At 36.8% G+C, this 24,638-nt stretch overlaps 2 annotated features.

Annotated features, from left to right (window-relative positions):
- Positions 2,927 to 3,427: an enhancer, noted in NCBI's record as "H3K4me1 hESC enhancer chrX:137155490-137155990 (GRCh37/hg19 assembly coordinates)". NCBI's record gives its function as "activates a minimal SCP1, AML or CMV promoter by ChIP-STARR-seq in primed H9 embryonic stem cells {active_cell/tissue: H9 hESC(primed)}" and the evidence as "EXISTENCE:reporter gene assay evidence [ECO:0000049][PMID:30033119]".
- Positions 3,428 to 3,928: an enhancer, noted in NCBI's record as "H3K4me1 hESC enhancer chrX:137155991-137156491 (GRCh37/hg19 assembly coordinates)". NCBI's record gives its function as "activates a minimal SCP1, AML or CMV promoter by ChIP-STARR-seq in primed H9 embryonic stem cells {active_cell/tissue: H9 hESC(primed)}" and the evidence as "EXISTENCE:reporter gene assay evidence [ECO:0000049][PMID:30033119]".

Consider the following 24,638-nt stretch of genomic DNA (forward strand, 5'->3'; position numbering starts at 1 on the left):
TTGTCTGTTCCAATCTGCTGTTGAGCTCCTTTGGTGAATTTTTTATTTCAGTCTTTATATGTTCTACTCAAGAATTTCTATTCAGTTCTTTCTAAAATAATTTCTATGTCTTATTAATATTCTGAATTTGGTGAAGCATCATTTTCATATTTTTCTAAAAATGTGATTTTCTTCAGTTTTTGAAATATATTAAAACAACTTATTTAAATTTTTCATCAAGTAAATTCAACATCTGGGCTTTCTAAGGGTCGGTTTCTATTGTTTGCTTTTTTTTTTCTGTGTATGAGGTGTACCTCCTTATTTATTTGAATGTCTCCTAATTTTTTGTTGAAAACTGTACATTTTAAGTAATAAATTAGGGAACTTTGAATATTCCGTTTTACTCATTCCAGGGATTTGCTGCTGTTTAGTGACATTCATGGTCTATTTCCTTGAAGTCTGTATTTTTTGTCATGTTTAACTTAATCCACGTTTAATCTAGTAGTCGTCTAATGCTTCTACAGAGATTTCTTTAACTGCTTGGAGCCAATATTCTCCCCTTCTTTGCTGAGAGTCTCTGTGTATGTACTGGAGCATGTTTTGAACACTCATTCAGAGGGTTTACAAATCTGCCTTATTCTTCCCATTCTGACTGTATAGAATCTCAAGGTTTGCCTGGCATGAGAACCTACAGCCATCCATCTAAGATAATTCCTGAGAATACATACAGCCCTAGACATGTGCATAGCCTTTTAGATTTTAAAGTTTTCTGGAGTTTTTCAAAGTCCCCTATGGACACCTCACTCATTAGCTTTTCCTTTGTTATCTACTCATCCACTTTTGCTTTTTTCCCACTTATGTCTGTGGCACCAGGTCTTTTCCTTCTGAGTTATTTTTATACTTTTCATATTCTACTGCACTGTAACATGACAAGTAGTGGTCTAGTAATTCACCTTTGCATCCTCCAGAAGACTAGCACAGCACATGGCCCAGAATAGGCTCCAGAAAGTGTTATTTTACTTGAATTTAATGGATTAGAATGGGTTGAAATTGATAATGATGGAGTAACTTTTGGCAGAACAACCTTCCCACAAAACAATGATATATTCTAGACCAAAATACTAACATATATTACTTAAAAACACTGAAGAGTGACTAAAAATAGACAGTAGCTGGAATGGAGAGTTATATCTTCAGAAAAAGGTAGTGGCCCTAAGTGGGTTTCCCAGTTTTACGTCCCTTCACTTGAGGACAAGAACCAGTTGGCCACACAAGAAAGCTAAACTTCATATAGATAGAAATACACCATCTTACCATATTGAAGACCTAAACCTGTGGTCCTAATATTTTTTTGGTAAAGGACCACAGAGTAAATATTTTAGGCTTTTGAGCCACATATTGTCTCTGTCGCATAGTTTTTTGTTTGTTTGTTTGTCTTACAACCCTTTAAAATGTTTAAAAAACACAAACACAAAAAACAAAAAACATTCTTAGCGAATGAGCTTTACAAAAACAGCTAATGGGTTGGATTTGGCCCAGGGACCTTATTTTGACAACCCCTGAACTAGAGAATACAGTTTGGAATATCTGGAAACTGAAAGGTGAGGGGAGGGTATCCTAAAAACAATTAAGCCAGCGAAGAGGAATCTGAATATTAACTCAGAGTATAAACCCTGCCCAAATCTCTAACTGACTATCTGAAATACATATGTGCAGTCCAGACTCCAGATAGTCGCAATAAAGCTAAAGCAATTGAAAAGAGTTTTTAGCTCCATCCCTTTGCAAGAAGCCAAGAGTCTTTAGTTTGAGTCCAGCCAAGTTAACTATCTGCTAAAATAAAAATATTTTTAAGGGAGCAAAATTGAGAATATCTCTAATATATCATTAATAATGTATAGAAAAATATAAAATTATTAGACATATGAATAACAAGATAATTTTATTAGTACTCAAGAGAAAAGCCAGGCAATGCACAGTAATCTTGAGTTTACCCAGATGTTGGCATTAGAAGACAAAAATGTTAAAGCAGCTATTTTAACGATGCTAAATAAACCAAAGGGAAATATCCTCACAATGAAAAAACAAATAAGAAACCCAGGCAGAAAAATTAAAACTAGAATAACCAACTGGAAATTCTACAAATAGAAAATTCAATTTCTGAAGTAAAAATTTTACTGAATGATATTAAGAAAGGATTGGAGATAACACAGAAATAGCGAACTTAAAGAAAGATTGATGAAAATCATTCAAATTTAAGAAAAAAGAGAATCAAATGAGATCATTAGAATAGACCCTGCCATCTAGCTAGGTACTGAGAACATAAAATAGGGACGGAAAAGTTGCATTCAGTGAAAGAAAGAGAAAGGTTTTTAGCATGGACCTTGCCTGGAATGTGCAGATTATGAAGGGTTGGTGCTGGTGGATGGATAGTTCCCTGAACAAAATCAAGGCTTTTGTTGGTCAGTAAGAGAAAGTGAGTTAGTAAACAAACAAACAAACAAACAAAAAGGAATAAAATTTTAGGGTGATGTCACTAAAAATAGCAAAAAAGAAAATTCCAGGGTGCTTTCCTTTCATAAAAACAACTAATGAGCTTGTAAAACCTGTCAAAATAAACTTTTACAGAACTCTGGAATCTAGTTAAAAACACAGCAATCAGGTGAAAGTTTGGTCAAGAGACAAGTTGCTACAGTAAGAAAATGCTGTGACATTTTAAACTGCCCACCAGCCATCACCCAGATCCCAGATCCATGGCAGCTATTAGGACAACATGTTGCATTCCTGGTACAGGTTCCTAGTGCAAGAAAGAGCAATACGGATTTTGTTCTCAAAGAATTGTGGTTGTGGATTTTGATTTGTCCAGTGGCTCCCTTAAGGACCTGTGAAAGGCCTTGCCTTTACTTCATCTGACTTGGAGCATTCCCAGGGATAGGATGGCTTCCCAGGCAGATTTTGCCAAGATCAGTTAAAAACTGTAAATACCTACATTGAAAGAGAAGAAAGGTCTCAAATCAATAATCAAAATTTATACTTCAAGAAATTAAAGAAAGAGTCTGGAGGTTCCAAGATGGCCAAATAGGAACAGCTCCAGTCTGCAGCTCCCAGCATGAGCAACGAAGAAGATGGGTGATTTCTGCATTTCCAACTGAGGTACCAGGTTCATGTCACTGGGGCTTCTCAGACAGCGGGTGCAGCTCACGGAGCAGGGCGGGGCATCACCTCACCCAGGACGTGCAAGGGGTCAGGGAATTCCCTTTCCTAGCAAAGGGAAGTCATGACAGATGGTACCTGGAAAATCAGGAAACGCCCACCCTAATACTGAGATTTTCCAACGGCCTTAGCAAACAGCGCATCAGGAGATTACATCCCGCGCCTGGCTCAGAGGGTCTAACGCCCACGGACCCTCGCGCACTGCTAGCACAGCAGTCTGAGATCGAACTGCAAGGCGGCAGCCAGGCTGGGGGAGGGGCGTCCACCATTGCTGAGGCTTGAGGAGTTAAACAAAGCCACTAGGAAGCTCGAACTGGGTGGAGCCCACCACAGCTCAAGGAGGCCTGCCTGCCTCTGTAGACTCTGCCTCTCGGGGCAGGGTATAGCTGAACAAAAGGCAGCAGAAACTTCTGCAGACTTAAACGTCCCTGTCTGACAGCTTTGAACAGAGTAGTGGTTCTCCCAGCACGGAGTTTGAGATCTGAGCCTCCTCAAGTGAGTCCCTGACCCCTGAGTAGCCTAACTGGGAGACGCCTTCCAGTAGGGGCCGACTGACACCTCATACAGCCAGGTGCCCCTCTGAGACAAAGCTTCCAGAAGAAGGATCAGGCAGCAACATCTACAGTTCTGCAATATTTGTTATTCTGCAGCCTCCACTGGTGATACCCAGGCAAACAGGGTCTGGAGTGGGCCTCCAACAAACTCCAACAGAGCTACAGCTGAGGGTCCTGACTGTTAGAAGGAAAACTAACAAACAGAAAGGACAACCACACCAAAACCCCGTCTGTATGTCACCATCATCAAAGACCAAAGGTAGATAAAACCACAAAGATGGGGAGAAACCAGGGCAGAAAAGCTGAAAATTCTAAAAATCAGAGCACCTCTTCTCCTCCAAAGGAATGCAGCTCCTTGCCAGCAATGGAACAAAGCTGTATGGAGAATGACTTTGACGAGTTGAGAGAAGAAGGCTTCAGATGATCAGTAATAACAAACTTCTCTGAGCTAAAGGAGGATGTTCGAACCCATTGCAAAGAAGGTAAAAACCTTGGAAAAAGATTAGACAAATGGCTAACTAGAATAACCAGTGTAGAGAAGTCCTGAAATGACCTGATGGAGCTGAAAACCATGGCACGAGAACTACGTGACACATGCACAAGCTTCAGTAGCCAATTTGATCAGGTGGAAGAAAGGTATCATTGACTGAAGATCAAATGAATGAAATGAAGTGAGAAGAGAAGTTTAGAGAAAAAAGAGTAAAAAGAAATGAACAAAGCCTCTAAGAAATATGGGACTATGTGAAAAGACCAAATCTACATCTGATTGGTGTACCTGAAAGTGATGGGGAGAATGGAACCAAGTTGGAAAACACTCTTCAGGATACTATACAAGAGAACTTCCCCAACCTAGCAAAGCAGGCCAACATTCAAATTCAGGAAACACAGAGAACACCACAAAGATACTCCTCGAGAAGAGCAACTCCAAGACACATAATTGTCAGATTCACCAAAGTTGAAATGAAGGAAAAAATGTTAAGAGCAGCCAGAGAGAAAGGTCCGGTTACCCACAAAGAGAAGCCCATCAGACTAACAGCTGATCTCTCAGCAGAAACTCTACAAGCCAGAAGAGAGTGGGGGCCAATATTCAACATTCTTAAAGAAAAGAATTTTCAACACAGAATTTCATATCCAGCCAACCTAAGCTTCATAAGTGAAGGAGAAATAAAATCCTTTACAGACAAACAAATGCTGAGAGATTTTGTCACCACTAGGCCTGCCTTACAAGAGCTCCTGAAGGAAGCACTAAACATGCAAAGGAACAACCGGTACCAGCCACTACAAAAACATGCCAAATTGTAAAGACCATTGAGGCTAGGAAGAAACTGCATCAACTAATGAGTAAAATAACCAGCTAACATCATAATGACAGGATCAAATTCACACATAACAATATTAACCTTAAATGTAAATGGACTAAATGCTCCAATTAAAAGACACAGACTGGAAAATTGGATAAAGAGTCAAGACCCATCAGTGTGCTGTATTCAGGAGACCCATCTCACGTGCAGAGAAACACATAGGCTCAAAATAAAGGGATGGAGGAAGATTTTCCAAGCAAATGGAAAACCAAAAAAAAGCAGAGGTTGCAATCCTAGTCTCTGAAAAAACAGACTTTAAACCAACAAAGATCAAAAGAGACAAAGAAGGCCATTACATAAATGGTAAAGGGATCAATTCAACAAGAAGAGCTAACTATCCTAAATATATATGCACCCAATACAGGAGCACCCAGATTCATAAGGCAAGTCCTTAGAGACCCACAAAGAGACTTAGACTCCCACACAATAATAATGGGAGACTTTAACACCCCACTGTCAACTTTAGACAGATCAACGAGACAGAAAGTTAACAAGAATATCCAGGAATTGAACACAGCTCTGCACCAAGCAGACCTAATAGACATCTACAGAACTCTCCACCCCAAATCAACGGAGTATACATTCTTCTCAGCACCACATCACACTTCTTCCAAAATTGACCACATAGCTGGAAGTAAAGCACTCCTCAGCAAATGCAAAAGAACAGAAATTATAAGAAACTTTCTCTCAGATCGCAGTATAATCAAACTAGAACTCAGGATTAAGAAACTCATTCAAAACTGCTCAACTAGATGGAAATTGAACAGTCTGCTCCTGAATGACTACTGGGTACATAATGAAATGAAGGCAGAAATAAAGATGTTCTTTGAAACCAATGAGAACAAAGACACAACATACCAAAATCTCTGGGACACATTTAAAGCAATGTGTAGAGGGAAATTTAGAGCACTAAATGCCCACACCAAAAGCAGGAAAAATCTAAAATTGACACCCTAACATCACACTTAAAAGAACTAGAGAAGCAAGAGCAAACATGTTCAAAAGCTAGCAGAAGGTAAAAAATAACTTAGATCAGAGGAGAACTGAAGGAGATAGAGACACAAAAAACCCTTCAAAAAAATCAATGAATCCAGGAGCTGGTTTTTTGAAAAGATCAATAAAATCGATAGACTGCTAGCAAGACTAATAAAGAAGAAAAGAGAGAAGAATCAAATAGATGCAATAAAAAATGTTAAAGGGGATATCACCACTGATCCCACAGAAATACAAACTACCATCAGAGAATACTATATACACCTCTACGGAAATAAACTAGAAAATCTAGAAGAAATGGATAAATTCCTGGACACATACACCCTCCCAAGACTAAACCAGGAAGAAGTTGAATCCCTGAATAGACCAATAACAGGTTCTGAAATTGAGGCAATAATTAATAGCCTACCAACCAAAAAAAGTCCAGGACCAGATGGATTCACAGCCAAATTCTACCAGAGGTACAAAGAGGAGCTGGTACCATTCCTTCTGAAACTATTCCAATAAATAGAAAAAGAGGGAATTCTCCCTAATTCATTTTATGAGGCCAACATCATCCTGATACCAAAGCCTGTTAAAGACACACCAAAAAAAGAGAATTTTAGACCAATATCCCTGATGAACATCGATGCAAAAATCCTCAATAAAATACTGGCAAACCGAATCCAGCAGCACATCAAAAAGCTTATCCACCACGATCAAGTTGGCTTCATCCCTGGGATACAAGGCTAGTTCAACATACACAAAAATCAGTAAACATAATCCATCACATAAACAGAACCAAAGACAAAAACCACATGATTATCTCAATAGATGCAGAAAAGGCCTTCAACAAAATTCAACAGCCCTTCATGCTAAAAACTCTCAAAAACTAGGTGTTGATTGGACTTATCTCAAAATAATAAGAGCTATTTATGACAAACCCACAGCCAATATCATACTGAATGGGCAAAAACTGGAAGCATTCCCTTTGAAAACTGGCACAAGAGAGGGATGCCCTCTCTCACCACTCCTATTCAACATAGTGTTGGAAGTTCTGGCCAGGGCAATCAGGCAGGAGAAAGAAATAAAGGATATTCAATTAGGAAAAGAGGAAGTCAAATTGTCCCTGTTTGCAGATGACGTGACTGTATATTTAGAAAACCCCATCCTCTCATCCCCAAATCTCCTTAAGCTGATAAGCAACCTCAGCAAAAGTCTCAGGATACAAAATCAATGTGCAAAAATCACAAGCATTCCTATAGAGCAATAACAGACAAACAGAGAGCCAAATCATGAGTGAACTCCCATTCACAATTGCTTCAAAGAGAATAAAATACTTAGGAATCCAACTTACAAGGGATGTGAAGGACCTCTTCAAGGAGAACTACAAACCACTGGTCAATGAAATAAAAGAGGACACAAACAAATGGAAGAACATTTCATGCTCATGGGTAGGAAGAATCAATATTGTGAAAATGGCCATACTGCCCAAGGTAACATAGGTTCAATGCCATCCCCATCAAGCTACCAATGACTTTCTTCACAGAATTGGAAAAAACTACTGTAAAGTTCATATGGAACCAAAAAAGAGCCTGCATTGCCAAGACAATCCAAAGCCAAAAGAACAAATCTGGAGGCATCACACTACCTGACTTCAAACTATACTACAAGGCTACAGTAACCAAAACAGCATGGTACTGGTACCAAAACAGAGATATAGACCAATGGAACAGAATAGAGCCCCCAGAAATAATACCACACATCTACAACGATCTGATCTTCGACAAACCTGACAAAAACAAGAAATGGGGAAACGATTCCCTATTTAATAAATAGTGCTGGGAAAACTGCCTAGCCATATGTAGAAAGCTGAAACTGGATCCCTTCCTTACACCTTATGCAAAAATTAATTCAAGATGGATTAAAGACTTAAATGTTAGACCTAAAACCATTAAAACCCTAGAAGAAAACTTAGGCAATACCATTCAGGACATAGGCATGGGCAAGGACTTCATGACTAAAACACCAAAAGCAATGGCAACAAAATCCAAAATTGACAAATGGGATCTAATTAACCTAAAGAGCTTCTGCACAGCAAAAAAAAAAGTACCGTCAGAGTGAACAGGCAGCCTACAGAATGGGAAAAAATTTTTGCAATCTACCCATCTGACAAAGGGCTAATATCCAGAATCTACAAAGAACTTAAACAAATTTACAAGAAAAAATCAAACAACCCCATCAAAAAGTGGGCAAAGGATATGAACAGACACTTTTCAAAAGAAGACATTTATGCATCCCACAGACACATGAAAAAATGCTCATCATCCCTGGCCATCAGAGAAATGCAAATCAAAACCACAACGAGATACCATCTCATACCAGTTAGAATGGCGATCATTAAAAAGTCAGGAAACAACAGGTGCTGGAGAGGATGTGGAGAAATAGGAACACTTCTACACTCTTGGTGGGACTGTAAACTGGTTCAACCATTGTGGAAGACAGTGTGGTGATTCCTCAAGGATCTAGAACTAGAAATACCATTTGACCCTGCGATCCCATAACTGGGCATGCACCCAAAGCATTATAAATCATGCTGCTATAAAGACACAGGCACATGTATATTTATTGTGGCACTATTCACGATAGCAAAGACTTGGAACCAACCCAAATGTCCATCAATGATAGACTGGATTAAGAAAATGTGGCACATATACACCATGGAATACTATTCAGCCATAAAAAGGATGAGTTCATGTCCTTTGTAGGGACATAGATGAAGCTGGAAACCATCATTCTGAGCAAACTATCATAAGGACGGAAAACCAAACACCGCATGTTCTCACTCATAGGTGGGAATTGAACAATGAGAACACTTGGACACAGGGTGGGGAACCTCATACACCGGGGCCTGTCGTGGGGTGGGGAGAGGGAGGAGGTATAACATTAGGAGATATACCTAATGTAAATGACGAGTTAATGGGTGCAGCACACCAACATGGCACATGTATACATATGTAACAAACCTGCAGTTTGTGCACATGTACCCTAGAACTTAAAGTATAATAATAATGATAAAGAAATTAGAGAAAGAAGAACAAATTAAGCACAAAGCTTCAGTAGGAATTAAAGAATAAATATTACAGCAGAGATAAATTAAATAGAGAATAAACAACCAGAGAGAATCAACAAAATCAAAGATTGGTTGTTTAAAAAAATCAACAAAATTGCTAAACCTTTAGTTAGGACTGTTAAAGAATAAAAAAGTGCAAATAAGTAAAATTAGAAATGAAACTAGGAGCATTCCTACTGACTTGACAGAATTAAAAAGTATTATAAAAGATTGCTATGACCAATTGTTTGCCAACAAACTAGATAACCTAAATAAAATTGGCAAATCCCTAGAAACAGTGAAATGAACAAAACCGACTCAAGGTGAAATAGAAAATCTCAACAAATGTATAACAAGTAAAGAGATTAAATCAGTCAACCAAAAACCTCCCACCAAAGAAAAGTTTTGGACCAGATGGCTTCACTAGTTAATTATACCAATAATTTAAAGAATAATTAACTCAAATCCTCTCAAGTTCTTCCAAAAAATACAGAAGAAGCACTTCCTAACTCATTCTATGAATTCACCTTCACTAAGATAACCAAGCCAGACAGACACATCACAATAAAGGACCAATATTCCTTATGAAAATAATGCAAAAATCCTCAACAATATACTAGGAAAAAGAATTTAGCAACATATTAAAAAAATTGTTCACCATGGTCGAGTGGGTTTCCTCCTAGGAATTCAAGGTTCAACATAAAAATAATCAAGTCATGCAATAAAACATATAAGTAAAATTTAAAATGCACACACAATCTTCTAAGTTGATACAGAAAAAAAAACACTGGACCAAATCCAGCATCCTTACAATATAAAAACACTTAAATTAGAAATAGAGGAAGCTTCCTCAACAAGATGAAGAGCATTTTACAAATCTTCATGCTCTTGGATTTGGCAATAGATTGTGTAGATATGATATTAAAAGTATGAGTAATAAAAGGAAAAATAGATTGTGTTTTATCAAAACTAAAAACTTTGGGCATCAAAAGACATTATCAATGAAGTGAAAAGACAAAAAAATGGGAGGAAACATTTGCACATCATGACTCTGATACAAGCTTAACATACAGAATATAGAAAAACTCCTACAACATAATAACAAAAAGACAAAAAAAGGGCAAAAGACTTGAATAGAACATATTTCTCCCAAGAAGATATATAAGTGACCGATAAACACATGAAAGATGCTCAACATCATCAGTCATTAGGGAAATGGAAATCAAAACCACAATGAAATATCACTTCATGCCCAATAGGATGACTATGATTTTTTTTAACAAAGGAAAATATCATGTTGGCAAGCACATAGAGAAATTAGAACCCTTATACTTTCCTGGTATGGATGTAAAATAGTGCAGCCACTTTGGAAAAGTTTTATGCTTCATTAAATGTTAAAGATAGAGCTAACATACAACTCAGAAGCTCCTTTTCTTAAAAGCGCTCAGACATTTAAATATATCCTTGTACAGAAAAGTTTGTAGCAGCATTATTCAGAAAACCCAAAAGATGGGAACAACCCAAGTGTCCATCAACTGATAAATGAATAAACAAAATTGGTTGTATCCATACAATGAAATATTGTTAAGCTATAAAAGTGATCAAAATACTGATACATGCTACAACATGGATGAATCTCAGAAGCCAGACACCAAAGGTCACATATTGTATTAGTCCATTTATATGAAATATCCAGAATAGGTAAATCCATAGAGATAGAGAGCAGAATGCTGCTTGTCAGGGGCTCTGAGAGTGGGGAAGGGGGAGTGACTACTTAATGGGCAGGAAGTTTTCTTTTAGTATGATGAAAATGCTTCTGAATTAGATAGAGGTGATGATTGCACAATATTATGAAGATAGTAACTGCCACTGAATTGTACACTTTAAAATAATTAATTTTATGTTATATGAATTCTACTCCAATGAAACATTTTTAAAAAGAAAAACTTCACCTCAGTCCAATCAATATTAATAAGAACCTTTTCTGTAGGAGCCCTGTGATGGAGAACTGCGAGTCTATGATTTGTATTGGAAACAGACCCTGCTTTCCAAGGGGTCCCAGGGAAACACACACACACACACACGCACACCTCTAATATATTAAGAGGCAGATTAACGATGCCATTAGAAAACTTTGAGGGCATAGGAAAAAGCACTGGACGGTGATGGGAAGGGGTGCATAGAAGAGATAACATTGGAGCTACCTCATTTGAGAAACAGATTGACGTAGTTTAACAGAAAGAACATAGGGCATTGAAGCTAGACTATGTGGGTTAAAATCCTACCTTTGCTTGATCCAGCTGCATGACTATGGGAATGTCAGTGCATTTCTTGAAGCCTTTTTTTCCTCTTCTGCAAAATAGAGATATTAACAATTCCTACTTATTAGGGTTGTTTTGAGGATTAGATGAGAAATGCCTGTAAGTACTTGGCTCAGAAAGGCACATGTGCTGTTCTTTGCTAATTTAGCTTTCTTCCTCTGTTCAGTGCATTGCTCTGCAGGTGGTGGGAATAGACTCTTTGCAGGAGGTGTAGGGGTTGGGATGGGGAGAAAATGAGGTGAAATGATGTTTTTGAAGAGGTCTTTCATTTTCAGAATCTCAGAGAGGAATCTTGGCAATCTCCACTATTTCCTTTTCCACCTAGATTGGTGTGCAGCTCCTAGAAAAACGCTGCACCCTAAGAGTAGCAGGCCCAGTATGCAGATGGCTGCAGGGAGAATTCAGCATTGATATGCTTTAAGCCCTGTAGACTCCCTTTGCTTGCTGCTCTCTCCCTTGGCATGCTGTCAGCTGGTGGGTGCATCAGGTCCTAGTAATTCTGGGACACATGGTTGCTGTGTCTTATTTCAAGGAAACCCCAAAGTGCAACACATTAGGAATTACATAAATATATTAAATGAACTGCTCAACCATTACCTTGCACCTAATTATTTTACTGCCTTTTGCTTTGTAAGCGTTTTTCTGTCCTGAAGAACTCAAAATGATGAAATGGCCTTGGCTAAAAACAAGTGATTCTCTGCATAGCAGCTCCTTCTCTCTGCAGGGACAACACAGCCTGAGGTTGCTGGTGTCTGCACAAACACAGCAGCTGACAAGGCAAAGATGCACAGGCTGACTTTTAATGGTGTATATTTTTCTAGGTTTTTAAAGAGCTTTAACCCATTTGCTGCCCCAATTAGTTTTAAGATTTTTATGCAATAACTTGTAATAAAATATATTTACAACCAAATGAGTAAGTAAACATCTCCACCCCAGCACTTCTTGGCTGTGTTCTGCATAGCTTAGACATTTTTCTGCTTCTGCCTACCAAAGGATTGGGGCAATTTTTTCTTCAAAGACTGAACCCTTGGGATAGTAGGTAAATGCCCCTTTTACATTTCTTGTGGTATACTGCCCCCTCAGTGTTCCCTGCAGTGTGACTCATACACAGTCATTGTGTAAAATAACTATTTTATCACAGAGTAAACAAATATGATACAATAGAAGTAGCACCACACCAAAATTAGGAATCTTAGAGATTCTTTTCTACCAACGAACTTTGCCTGTCATTATCATTCCATAACTGTGTGACTCTGAATGTGCTTCTTGTCCTCTCTGTGTCTCATGTTCAAATGATCTTATTATGTGATCTTTACAGTTTTCCCACGATATAGCATTCACTACAATCCTGGTAAATTGCAAGTACAAAATCACACATTCTTCTATTGAGCTTGGCTTGCCTTAAAGCATTGCTGGTCCTACTCAAGTCCTCTTTGTTTCACTTATAGATTAGCTAACACTCATAGTTTAACCTATTGAATCATTCAATCTTTTCAATTTTTTTTTCCAATCCTGTTATCACAGAAGAAGCAAAGTCTCTGAATTCTGGTTCCTAGATTTTTTGTTATTCCTTGTTTAAAGTATGACTCTTTCCTTAAGAGTAATCCAAAGCAAACCCAAAGTGAGCCATGTCCCTGAGAACTATTCCAAAATTTCTTTAAACTATCATTGTGCTGACCTGGTCACATAGAACTTGTTCTCTCAAGTCTTCTGCCTGAGGATTTATGTCTTCATAATTTCTAAAAGGTTTATTTATTCTGTCACCAAAGACTCCAAACCATGTGCTTAGCCTTACTCAAACACACAGTAGTGTTAACCATTATTTCAGCCTTAGGATGTGGGTTGATCATCTGCATATGACTTTCGAAAGAGTTTTTTCCCCCTTATTGTTTTTTGTCATTAGAATTTGTTTACTTTGGGTTATTCCATGGAATGTTCTGAATGTATGGACCTATTAATCCATCAGATTGTGTCTAATGTTTGGGGTGAGGGAAATGATCAATTTATTTCTTGACATGTTGCATTTTAGTTACCTGTAGAAAAATTAGAATCAAATAACCAGTGAATAGCTGGATATTCTGCATGTATAGTTTAGGAGAGAGATTATAGCTGAAAATACAGATCTGAGATTCATAATTTCATAGACAGTAACTGAAGTGTGGAAGAAGATAACATCAATTATGACAACATACAGGGTGAGAATAATAGGGTTGAGAATGGAGCCCTGGGAAATACTGAGGTTTAAGAAGGAGGAAGAGAAACTTCCCAGTGAGGTAGAGAAAGGAAGGTTTGAGAGATAGATGGCTAATTAAAAGAGGATACTGTAAAGAAGACAAAGGAGTAGGAAATCTCTAAAAAGAGAAAGTGGTTAATGATAATGACAGACAACAGAAAGATCACATATATTTGACTTGGACATGGCCAGAAGCCTCTTTGTGATGAAGTTATTCCATTTTGATAAAAATAATTTCAATAAGAAACTCATTATTGGTAATTATTTTGTAATTAAGTAAAAGTGAATGCAACGAACAGTATTAATCTGATAAATTTTGAGTGAGGGACAGCACTGCGATTTCAGTACAGTGTGGTAGAAAGCAGAGTATGAAGTATGATGATGGTCGTTACAGTTAATTTAATTTCTTTAAGATAGAAATATTGGTGGAATGTGAAAATCTGTGGCATTTTTTTCTGCTTTCTGTTAAATTCATGAAATATTGAAGCACCCACTTTTTTCTGTGCTTAGAACATCTATCCTTGGCTTCTTAACTTTCTTAAAAGTTGGAACACATAAATTTCAGCAGTTTTTAGCTTATTTCCAACTTTATTCAGGAGTTAAGATCATTCCAAGGTTGTCATCATTCCTTTGACTTTTATTTCTTAAAACTGTCTCCAAGATGCTAAAAAGCTGATTAAATGATCAGGCAAGTCAACCTTGTTTGATGCTGGATTGACATCAAATAAATGATGTGAAGATGCAGCAGGGTGTAGACATTGCAATCTCAGCATCTAGTAAAATAGTGGGAATGGCAGAGTAAGGACCAGCGAAAATCCTCCTCTTTATAAATGCAATGCAGATACTGGAAAAAATTGTCAGAATCTTCTTTTTCATAACTCTGAAAGCTAACCAAAGATTTGCATCATTCCAGGAAGTATACATTTAAGAAAAATGGCTGAAACACAGTAAGATCAGTGAGTTTTATGGCATTTTTACTTGCCTTTTTCAATTTCCCTTTTCCCGACTCTGCAGGTAAACAACAGCTTGTCAGCAACTGGGAGATTGTGGCGGTGGGAGGGATAATTGTCTTTATTCAATTTGTTTAGTGGTTCTCTGGAAGACCCAATTCACAACGTTTGTTTTTACATGCCTGGACTTGCCTGGTGCAAATTGACTTTTACCAAAAGTATTTGTCAAAAATAATCAGCAGCAATTGTTTAGCATCATAGCAACTTGAGGTGGTGGATAACAGCTGGGGTAAATAATGAGCTAATTAAAAACTTAAAAAGGAAAAGCTGAGGAATTAGATGACCTTAGGGGACTTTGAAAAGTGTTAGCTTGCAGAAATGGGCAAGCTGATTAAAAAATTTCTATGAAAATTCAAGGAAATTAGAATAGCCAAATAATCTTCAAAAGAATTGGAAGATTACACTTTCCAATTTCAAAACTTACTACAAAAAACAAAAATCAAAATAGTGTGGTATTGGCCTAAGGATATATGTATATATCTGTGGAATAGAATAGATAGTTCAGACATAAAATCAAAAACAAAAATCAAAATAGCGTGGTATTGGCCTAAGGATAAACATATATATCTGTGGAATAGAATAGATAGTTCAGACATAAACCCTATGGTCAATTGATTCTTGACAAAGATACCAAGAAAATTTAATAATGAGAGAATGTAGTCTTTTTTTTTAGACAGAATCTCGCTCTGTCTCCAGGCTAGAGTGCAGTGGCGCGATCTCGGCTCACTGGAACCTCTGACTCCCTCACCAAGCAATTCTCCTGCCTCAGCCTCCCGAGTAGCTGGGATTACATGCATATGCCACCACGTGCTGCTAATTTTTGTATTTTTAGTAGAAACAGGGTTTCACCATGCTGGCCAGGATGTTCTCCATCTCCTGACCTCATGATCCGCCCACCTCAGCCTCCCAAAGCACTGGGATTATAGGCATGAACCACCACGCCCGGCCAAGAATGTAGTTTAAAAAAAAAAAAAAAAGAAAAAGAAAAAGAAAAAAGAAAGGTGCTGAGACAACTACATAAGCATATGTAAAGGAACGAACTTAATCCTCTACCTCACACCGTATACCAAAATCAACACAAATTAAATCAAAGTTTCAAGTGTAAGAACTAATGCTATAAAACTCTTAGGATAAAACATAAGTGTAAATATTTATGACCTAGAATTAGGCAACAGTTTCACAGACAAGACACCTAAAGCAAAAGAAGCTACAGGAAAATAGAATTTTTTCTATTTTTTGATGAATGAAAAAAATGAATTCAAAAAACTGAATTTCATCAAAATTACATTTTTTGTGGACCCAAGGATACTATAAACAAAGTGATAAGATATCTTGCAGAATGTTAGCAATCATTTCCAAATTATATATCTGACAAGTATCTTTTATCAGGAATATATAAAGAACTCTTGATAACTGCACAATAAGAGAAAACCCAGCTTAAAAATGGGCAAACAATTTGAATAAACATTTCTCCAAAGAAAATATACAAATGGAAGCTAAGCACAGCAAAAATGCTTAACATCATTAGCCATATGAAGTAAATGCAAATCAAAATCATTTGGATACTGCTTCTCCCACACTAGGATGGACATAATAAAAAGATAGATAATAACAAGTGTTGGACAGGATATAGAGAAATATACATTCCTGGTGGAATATAAAATGGTGCTGCTGTCAGGGGGATCATGGCAGATGGGATGCAAGACTAGATTGCAGCTCCCACTCAGACAGACAGAGCAGCATGTGGAGGCTCACATCATGAACTTTTGCCCCAGAACAACTGCAGGAATACATTAGGAAAGCCGAGAGAACCCACAAACCCTCTGAAGGAAGCAGATTGCTCCTGCAGCATCTGGGAGACACCCCAAATACTGTGCTGGCATCCATGACTGAGAGACCCACAGATGGTTCACATCACAGGACTCTGTGCAGACAACCCCCAGTACCAGCCTGGAGACTGGTAGATTTGCTGGGTGGCTAGATCCAGAAGAGAGGTAACAATCACTACAGCTCACCACATTCCTAGGAAAAGGGGGAGAGTACTACATCAAGGGAATATCCCATGGGACAAAACATCTGAACAACACTCTTGAGCCCTAGACCTTCCCTCTGACAGAGCCTACTGAAATGAGAAGGGACCAGAAAACCAACTCTGGTAATACGACAAAACAAGGTCCTTTAACATCCCCTCAAAAATCACACTAGCTTACCAGCAATGGATCCAAACCAAGAAGAAATTCCTGATTTACCTGAAAAAGAATTCAGAAGGTTAGTTATTAAGCTAATCAGGGAGACACCAGAGAAACACAAAACCCAATCTAAGGAAATTAAAAAAAAAAAAAGATACAATAAATGATGGGAGAAATATTCAATGAAATAGATAGCATAAAGAAAAAACAATCGAAAGTTTAGGAAACAACAGATGCCTTTATAGAAATGCAAAATGCTCTGGAAAGTCTCAGCAATATAATCGAACAAGCAGAAGAAAGAACTTCAGAGCTTGAAGACAAGGTCTTTGAATTAACCCAATCCAACAAAGACAAAAAAAAAAAAGAATAATAAAATATGAACAATGTCTCCAAGAAGTCTGGGATTACATTAAAAGGCCAAACCTAAAAATAATAGGTGTTCCTGAGGAAGAAGAGAAATTTAAAAGTTTGGAAAATATATTTGGGGGAATAATCAAGGAAAACTTCCTTAGCCTTGCTAGAGACCTAGACATCCAAGTACAGGAAGCTCAAAGAACACCTGGAAAAGTAATCACAAAAAGATCATTACCTAGGAACATTGTCATCAGGTTATTTAAAGTTAAGACGAAGGAAAGAATCTTACGAGCTGTGAGACAAAAGCACCAGGTAACCTATAAAGGAAAACCTATCAGATTAACAGCAGATTTCTGAGCAGAAACCCTATAAGCTAGAAAGGATTGGGGCCCTATCTTCAGCCTCTTCAAACAAAACAATTATCAGCCAAGAATTTTGTATCCAGAGAAACTAAGCTTCATAAATGAAGAAAAGATACAGTCTTTTTCAGACAAACGAATGCTGAGAGAATTTGCCACTACCAAGCCAGCACTACAAGAACTGCTAAAAGGAGCTCTAAATGTTGAAACAAATCCTGGAAACACATCAAAACAGAACCTCCTTAAAGCATAAATATCACAGGATCTATAAAACAAAAATACCATAAAAAACCCCACAAAAAACCAAGGTATACAGGCAACAAATAGCATGATGAATTGTATGGTACCTCACATCTCAATACTAACATTGGACGTAAATGGTCTAAATGCTCCACTTAAGATACAGAATTGCTGAATGAATAAGAAGTCACCAACCAACTATCTGCTGCCACAAGTGACTCACCTAACACTTAAGGACTGACATAAACTTAAGGTAAATGGGTGGAAAAAGACATTCCATGCAAATGAACACAAAAAAGCAATCAGGAGTAGCTATTCTTATATAAGACAAAACAAACTTTAAAGTAACAGCAGTTTAAAAAGACAAAGAGGGACATTATATAATGATAAAAGGACTAGTCCGACAGGAAAATAACACAATCGTAAATGTATATGCACCTAACACTGGAGCTCCCACATTAATAAAAAAATTACTAATAGACCTAAGAAATGAGATAGATGGCAACTCAATAATAGTGGGGACTTCAATACTCCACTGACAGCACTAGACAGGTCATCAAGACAGAAAATCAACAAACAAACAAAACAATGGATTTAAATTATATCCTGGAACAAATGGGCTTAACAGATATATACAGAACGTTCTACCCAATAATAGCAGAATATACGTTCTATTCAACAGTGCGTGTAACTTTCTCCAAGACAGACCATATAACAGGCCACAAAACAAGCCTCAATAAATTTACAATAAACTGAAATTTTATCAAGCACTGTCTCAGACCACAGTGAAATAAAACTGGAAATCATTCCAAAAGGAACCTTCAAAACCATGCAAAAACATGGAAATTAAACAACTTGCGCCTGAATGATCATTGGATCAAAAATGCATTCAAGATGGAAATTAAAAAATTCTTTGAACTGAACAATAGTGACACAACCTAACAAAACCTGTTGGATACAGCAAAGGTGGTGCTAAGAGGAAAGTTCATAGCCCTAAATGCCTACATCAAAAAGTCTGTAAGAGCACAAACAGACAATCTAAGGTCACACCTGAAAAAACTAGAGAAACAAAAAGAAACCAAACCCAAACCTGGCAGAAGAAATGAAATAACCAAGATCAGAGCAGAACTAAGTGAAATTGAATCAAACAAACAAAAAACGATGCAAAAGATAAATAAAACAAAAACCTGGTTCTTTGAAAAGATAAATAAAATTGATAGATCATTAGCAAGGTTAGCCAAAAAAAAAAGAAAGGATATCCAAATAAGCTCAATTAGACACGAAACAGGAGATATTACAACTGACACCACAGAAACACAAAGGATCATTCAAGGCTACTATGAACACTTTTATGGGCATAAACTAGAAAACCTAGAGGAGATGGATAAATTCCTGAAAAGATACAATCCGCCTAGCTTAAATCAGAAAGAATTAGATACCTTGAACAGACCAATAACAAGCAGTGAGATTGAAATGGTAAAAAAAAAATTACCAACAAAAAAATTGCAGGACCAGACGGATTCACAGCAGAATTCTACCAGACATTAAAAGAAGATTTGGTACCAATCCTGTTGACACCATTCCACAAAATAGAGAAATAAGAAACCCTCCCTAAATCATTCTATGAAGCCAGCATCACCCTAATACCCAAACCAGGAAAGGACATTTAAAAAAAGAAAACTACAGACCAATATCCCTGATGAACATAGATACTAAAATTCTTAACAAAATACTAGTAAACCAAATCCAACAGCATATCAAAAAGATAATCCACCATGATCAAGTAGGTTTCATACCAGGGATGCAGGGATAGTTTAACATATGTAAGCCAATAAATGTGATACACCACATAAACAGAATTTTCAAAAATCACATGATCATCTCAATACACACAGAAAAAACATTTGACAAAATCCAGCATCCCTTTATGATTAAAACCCTCAGCAAAAATCAGCATACAAGGGACATACCTTAAGGTAATAAAACCGGTCTATGACGAACCCACAATCAATATTATACTGAATGGGGAAAAGTTGAAAGAGTTCACCTTCAGGACTGGAACAAGACAAGCATGCCCACTCTCACCACTTCTATTCAACATAGTACTGGAAGCCCTAGCCAGAACAATCAGACAAGAGAAAGAAATTAAGGGCATCCAAATTGGTAAAGAGGAAGTCAAACTGTCACTATTTGCTGATGATATGATCTTATACCTAGAAAACCCTAATGACTCTTCCAAAAAGCTCCTAGAATACATGAATTCAGCAAAGTTTCAGGATACAAAACTAATGTACATAAATCAGTAGTTCTGCTATACACCAACAGTGATCAAGCTGAGGGTCAAGTCAAGAGCTCAACCCCTTTCACAATAGCTGCAAAAAAAAAATTAAGTATGTAGGAATATACCTAACCAAGGATGTGAAAGACCTCTACAAGGAAAACTACAAAACATAGCTGAAAGAAATAACAGATGGCAAAAACGAATAGAAAGACATCCATGCTCATGGATGGGTAGAATCAATATTGTGAAAATGACCATACTGCCAAAAGCAATCTACAAATTCAATGCAATTCCCATCAAAATACAACCATCATTTTTCACAGAATTAGAAATAACAATCCTAAAAGTCAATCCAAAAAAGAGCCTGCACGCCAAAGCAAGACTAAATAAGAAGAACAAATCTGAAGGCATCACATTACCTGATTTCAAACTATACTATAAGGCCATAGTCATCAAAACAGCATGGTACTGGTATAAAAATAGGCACATAGACCAATGGAATGGAGTAGAGAACCCAGAAATAAACCCAAATACTTACAGCTAACTTATCTTTGACAAAGCAAACAAAAACATAAAATAGAGAAAGGACACCCTATTCAACAAATGGTGTTGGGATAATTGGCAAGCCACATGTGGGAGAATGAAACTGGATCCTCATCTCTCATCCTATATGAAAATCAACTCAAGATGGATCAAGGACTTAAATCTAAGACCTGAAACTATAAAAATTCTGGAAGATAATATTGGAAAAACCCTTCTAGACATTGGCTTAGGCAAGGATTTCATGATCAAGAAGCCAAAAGCAAATGCAATAAAAACAAACATAAACAGTTGGGACTTAATGAAACTAAAGAGCTTTAGGACAGCAAAAGGAACAGTCAACAGAGTAAACAGACAACTCAAAAAGTGGGAGAAAATCTTCACAATCTATACATCTCACAAAGGACTAATATCCAGAATCTACAATGAACTCAAACAAATTAGCAAGAAAAAAAAAAACAACAATCCTATCAAAAAGTGGGCTTAGGACATGAATAGACAATTCTCAAAAGAAGATATACAAATGTCCAATAAACATATGACAAAATGTTCAACATCACTAATTATTAGGGAAATGCAAACCAAAACCACAATGTGATACCACCTTACTCCTGCTAGAATGGCTATAATCAAAAAATCAAAAAATAATAAAAGTTGGCATGGATGCGGTGAACAGGCAGCACTTCTACATTGCTAGTGGGAATGTAAACTAGTGCAGCCACTATGGAAAACTGTGGGGATTCCTTAAAAAACTAAAAATAGAACTACAATTTTTTCCAGCAATCTCACTACCGCATATCTACCCAGAGGAAAAAAAGTCATTATTCGAAAAAGATACTTGCACACTCATGTTTATAGCAGCACAATTCACAATTGCAAAATCATGGAACCAACCCAAATGCCCATCAATCAACAAGTGGATAAAGAGACCTGGATGAGATTGGAGACTATTATTCTAAGTGAAGTAACTCAGGAATGGTAAAACAAATCTTGTATGCTCTTACTCATAATTGGGAGCTAAGCTATGAGGATGCAAAGGCATAACAATGACACAATGGACTCTGGGGACTCAGGGTGAAAGGGTGGGAAGGAGGTGGGGGATAAAATACCACAAATTGGGTGCAGTGTATACTGCTTGGGTGATGTGTGCACCCAAATCTCACAAATCACCACTGAAGAATGTACTCAGGTAACCAAATACCATCTGTTCCTCAATAAACTATGAAAATAAAAAAAGTAATAAAATAAAATAAAATGGTACTGCCACTTTGGCAAATAGTCTTGTGTTTCTTCAAAATGTTAGAGTTATACAACCCAAACATTTCACTCCTAGGTATATACACAAGAAATTTGAAAACATATGTTTACACAAAAACTTATACAGTAGCAGCCTTTATTTATAATAGACAAAAAGTGAAAAAAGTACAAATGTTCATGAACTGATGAATGATCAAATAAAATGTGGTATATCTGTTCAATGGAGTACTATTTAGCCACAATGACATGAAGTGCTGATATGTACTACAACATGAATGAATTTTGAAAACATTATGCTAAGTGAAAGAAGTCAGATACAAAAAGCCACATTTTATATTATTTCACTCATATGAATTGTCCTATATAGGAACAGTCATGAAGGAAAAAATATATTAGTGGCTGCTAGAATCAAAGGGAAGAAGGGAATGCGAAATGGTGAAGAACTGCTAATATATTTAGGGTTTCTTTCTGTGGTAATAAATATTCTGCAATTAGATAGTGCTGATGTTGATATAACCTTGTGAATACACTAAAAGCTACTGTATCATATATTTTATTTTGTTATTTGTATAAATGCAAGGGATGTAAATGTAAATTTGTTACTGTGCAGTGGAGAAGTCTAAGGGTTTAGTGTATCCATCGTCCAAATGATGTACAGAAACAATATAAAGATTTCTTCAAATCTTTATAACTGAAAATAGAACCACCATTTAAACTGTATACTTAAAATAGAGAGTTTATGATATGTGGATTATATCTCAGATTTTTTAAAAAGATAAGATAAACTATGCAAAGCACAATAAAGTGAAGCACAATAAAATGAAGTAAGCCTGTACTCACTCTTTCTACCTTTGTCATTTTCAGATATTCATCAATCCACTGTAATTTTGGAGCTTACCACTCCACTGAACGTAATTTAGACAAGGAACCAACTGAACTTTATATTGCAAGCGCCAACAAGACATTCTTGAGACCTTATTTTACTTGTTCTTTCTGCAGTGTTCAAGGCTACTGGCCACACTATTCCCTTTTTGAAACTGTATTTTCTTGATTTCTAAAATACCACTCTCTCCCACTTCTACTGGTTTAAAGTTTGAGACTGCTTCTTTGATATCTCCCTCATAGAGTCTTTACTGTCTGGTTATACTGGCTTGTCTGAGATTAATCTTTAGCTCATTTTTCTTCTACATGTACATACTCTCTCTGACTGATCTTATTCATGCAGTTTCATTTTTACCTGTATGCAAATGATTCCTAACATGAATTGTACAGACTTCTTTCTTGAGCTCCAGATCCACGTATGGCAGAATAAAATGTTTGAATGTGATAGTATTTACAGACTCTTCTCATTCATCAGTCCTCCAAAAATAATCTTGTAATTGCCATCTAATTTCTTTTTTCCTCCTCATATCCTGAAAAGAAGCAATCATTTATTGCTGGAAGAGAGGCTATTTATATATAATAAAATTTAGGGGTTGAAGAAGAGAAAAGAGACATAAAGCTGAGAAAGCTGGGGTAAGAAGAACTGTTCTTTTGTCTTAGGTTTGCAAGAGATTAGAGCTTTAGGGGCCTTGTGGGGTAAAGATAATTGATTAGAGAGAAGAGGGTTTAAATAAGGATTGCTGTAGATTGTATATTGGGATATCCTCTGAAATGTTTCAAGAAATGTGAATAAATTAGTTTTGGCTATTATATAATGATTCTTTAAATCCCAATTCCTTCAGAGGCTGAGCCACATGCCTTCCCTTATCAAGATCTATTATGATTAAACATACAGATATCTAACAGTCAATGAGTTTCTCCATGGGCATCTCAGATACAATGTGTTCAAAATTGAATTTGTCCAAAATGTAACATATGGAAAAACAAACTCAATGGTATATATAGTGGTAAAGAACATAAATTCTAGAAATGAACTCACTGAGTTCGAATTTTATCTACATCACTTAATATCTGAGTGGCCTTGGGAATATTTCTGAAAATATCTATGATTCCACTATATCTGTTAAAGGGGGATTACACAAGTGCCTACCACAGGGGATTGCTAGGATGGTTAAATGGGTTAATATTTGTAAAGCACTTGAAACAGTAGCTGATGCCTAGTAAACAATACCTGTATTAAATGAATAAAATACAAATCTTCACCCTTCCATTCACCTTCACTCTTGTCTTCCTCCAGTGATCACCATTTCAATGAATGAAATCATCATGTACCCAAGAGCCTATATCAGAAAACTAAATATTATTCTTGACCTCTCCTCTCTCATCTCTCACCTTAAATTGGCTGCCAATTATTGTTAATTATGCATTCCTGATACTATCTTCTTCCTTCTAAAACTACATTAACTCATACTTTCTGTGCTAGGCACTAGGAATACAATGATGAAAAGGATGGCAAGCAACATTCTTCTCATATAATCTATGGTTTAAAAAGAAAGACAAGTATTGTACAATTACTTTCAAAATGTCAAGTTTTCTTCTAGATAATATGGCTATAAAGTTGAGTACTTATTTCCTTGAGGAACCCAGTGTATGAGAAATTGATACATAAAGTGAGAATTACAAATTACAGTTTTGTGATCAGTGTTCTATTGGAGAGATTTACAAAAAGCAGTGGGGTCCACACAACCAAGTCTTCCTGAATGGGAAGTTAGGCAGATATTCCC

Source organism: Homo sapiens, chromosome X (assembly GCF_000001405.40).
Source record: "Homo sapiens chromosome X, GRCh38.p14 Primary Assembly".
NCBI lineage: Eukaryota > Metazoa > Chordata > Mammalia > Primates > Hominidae > Homo > Homo sapiens.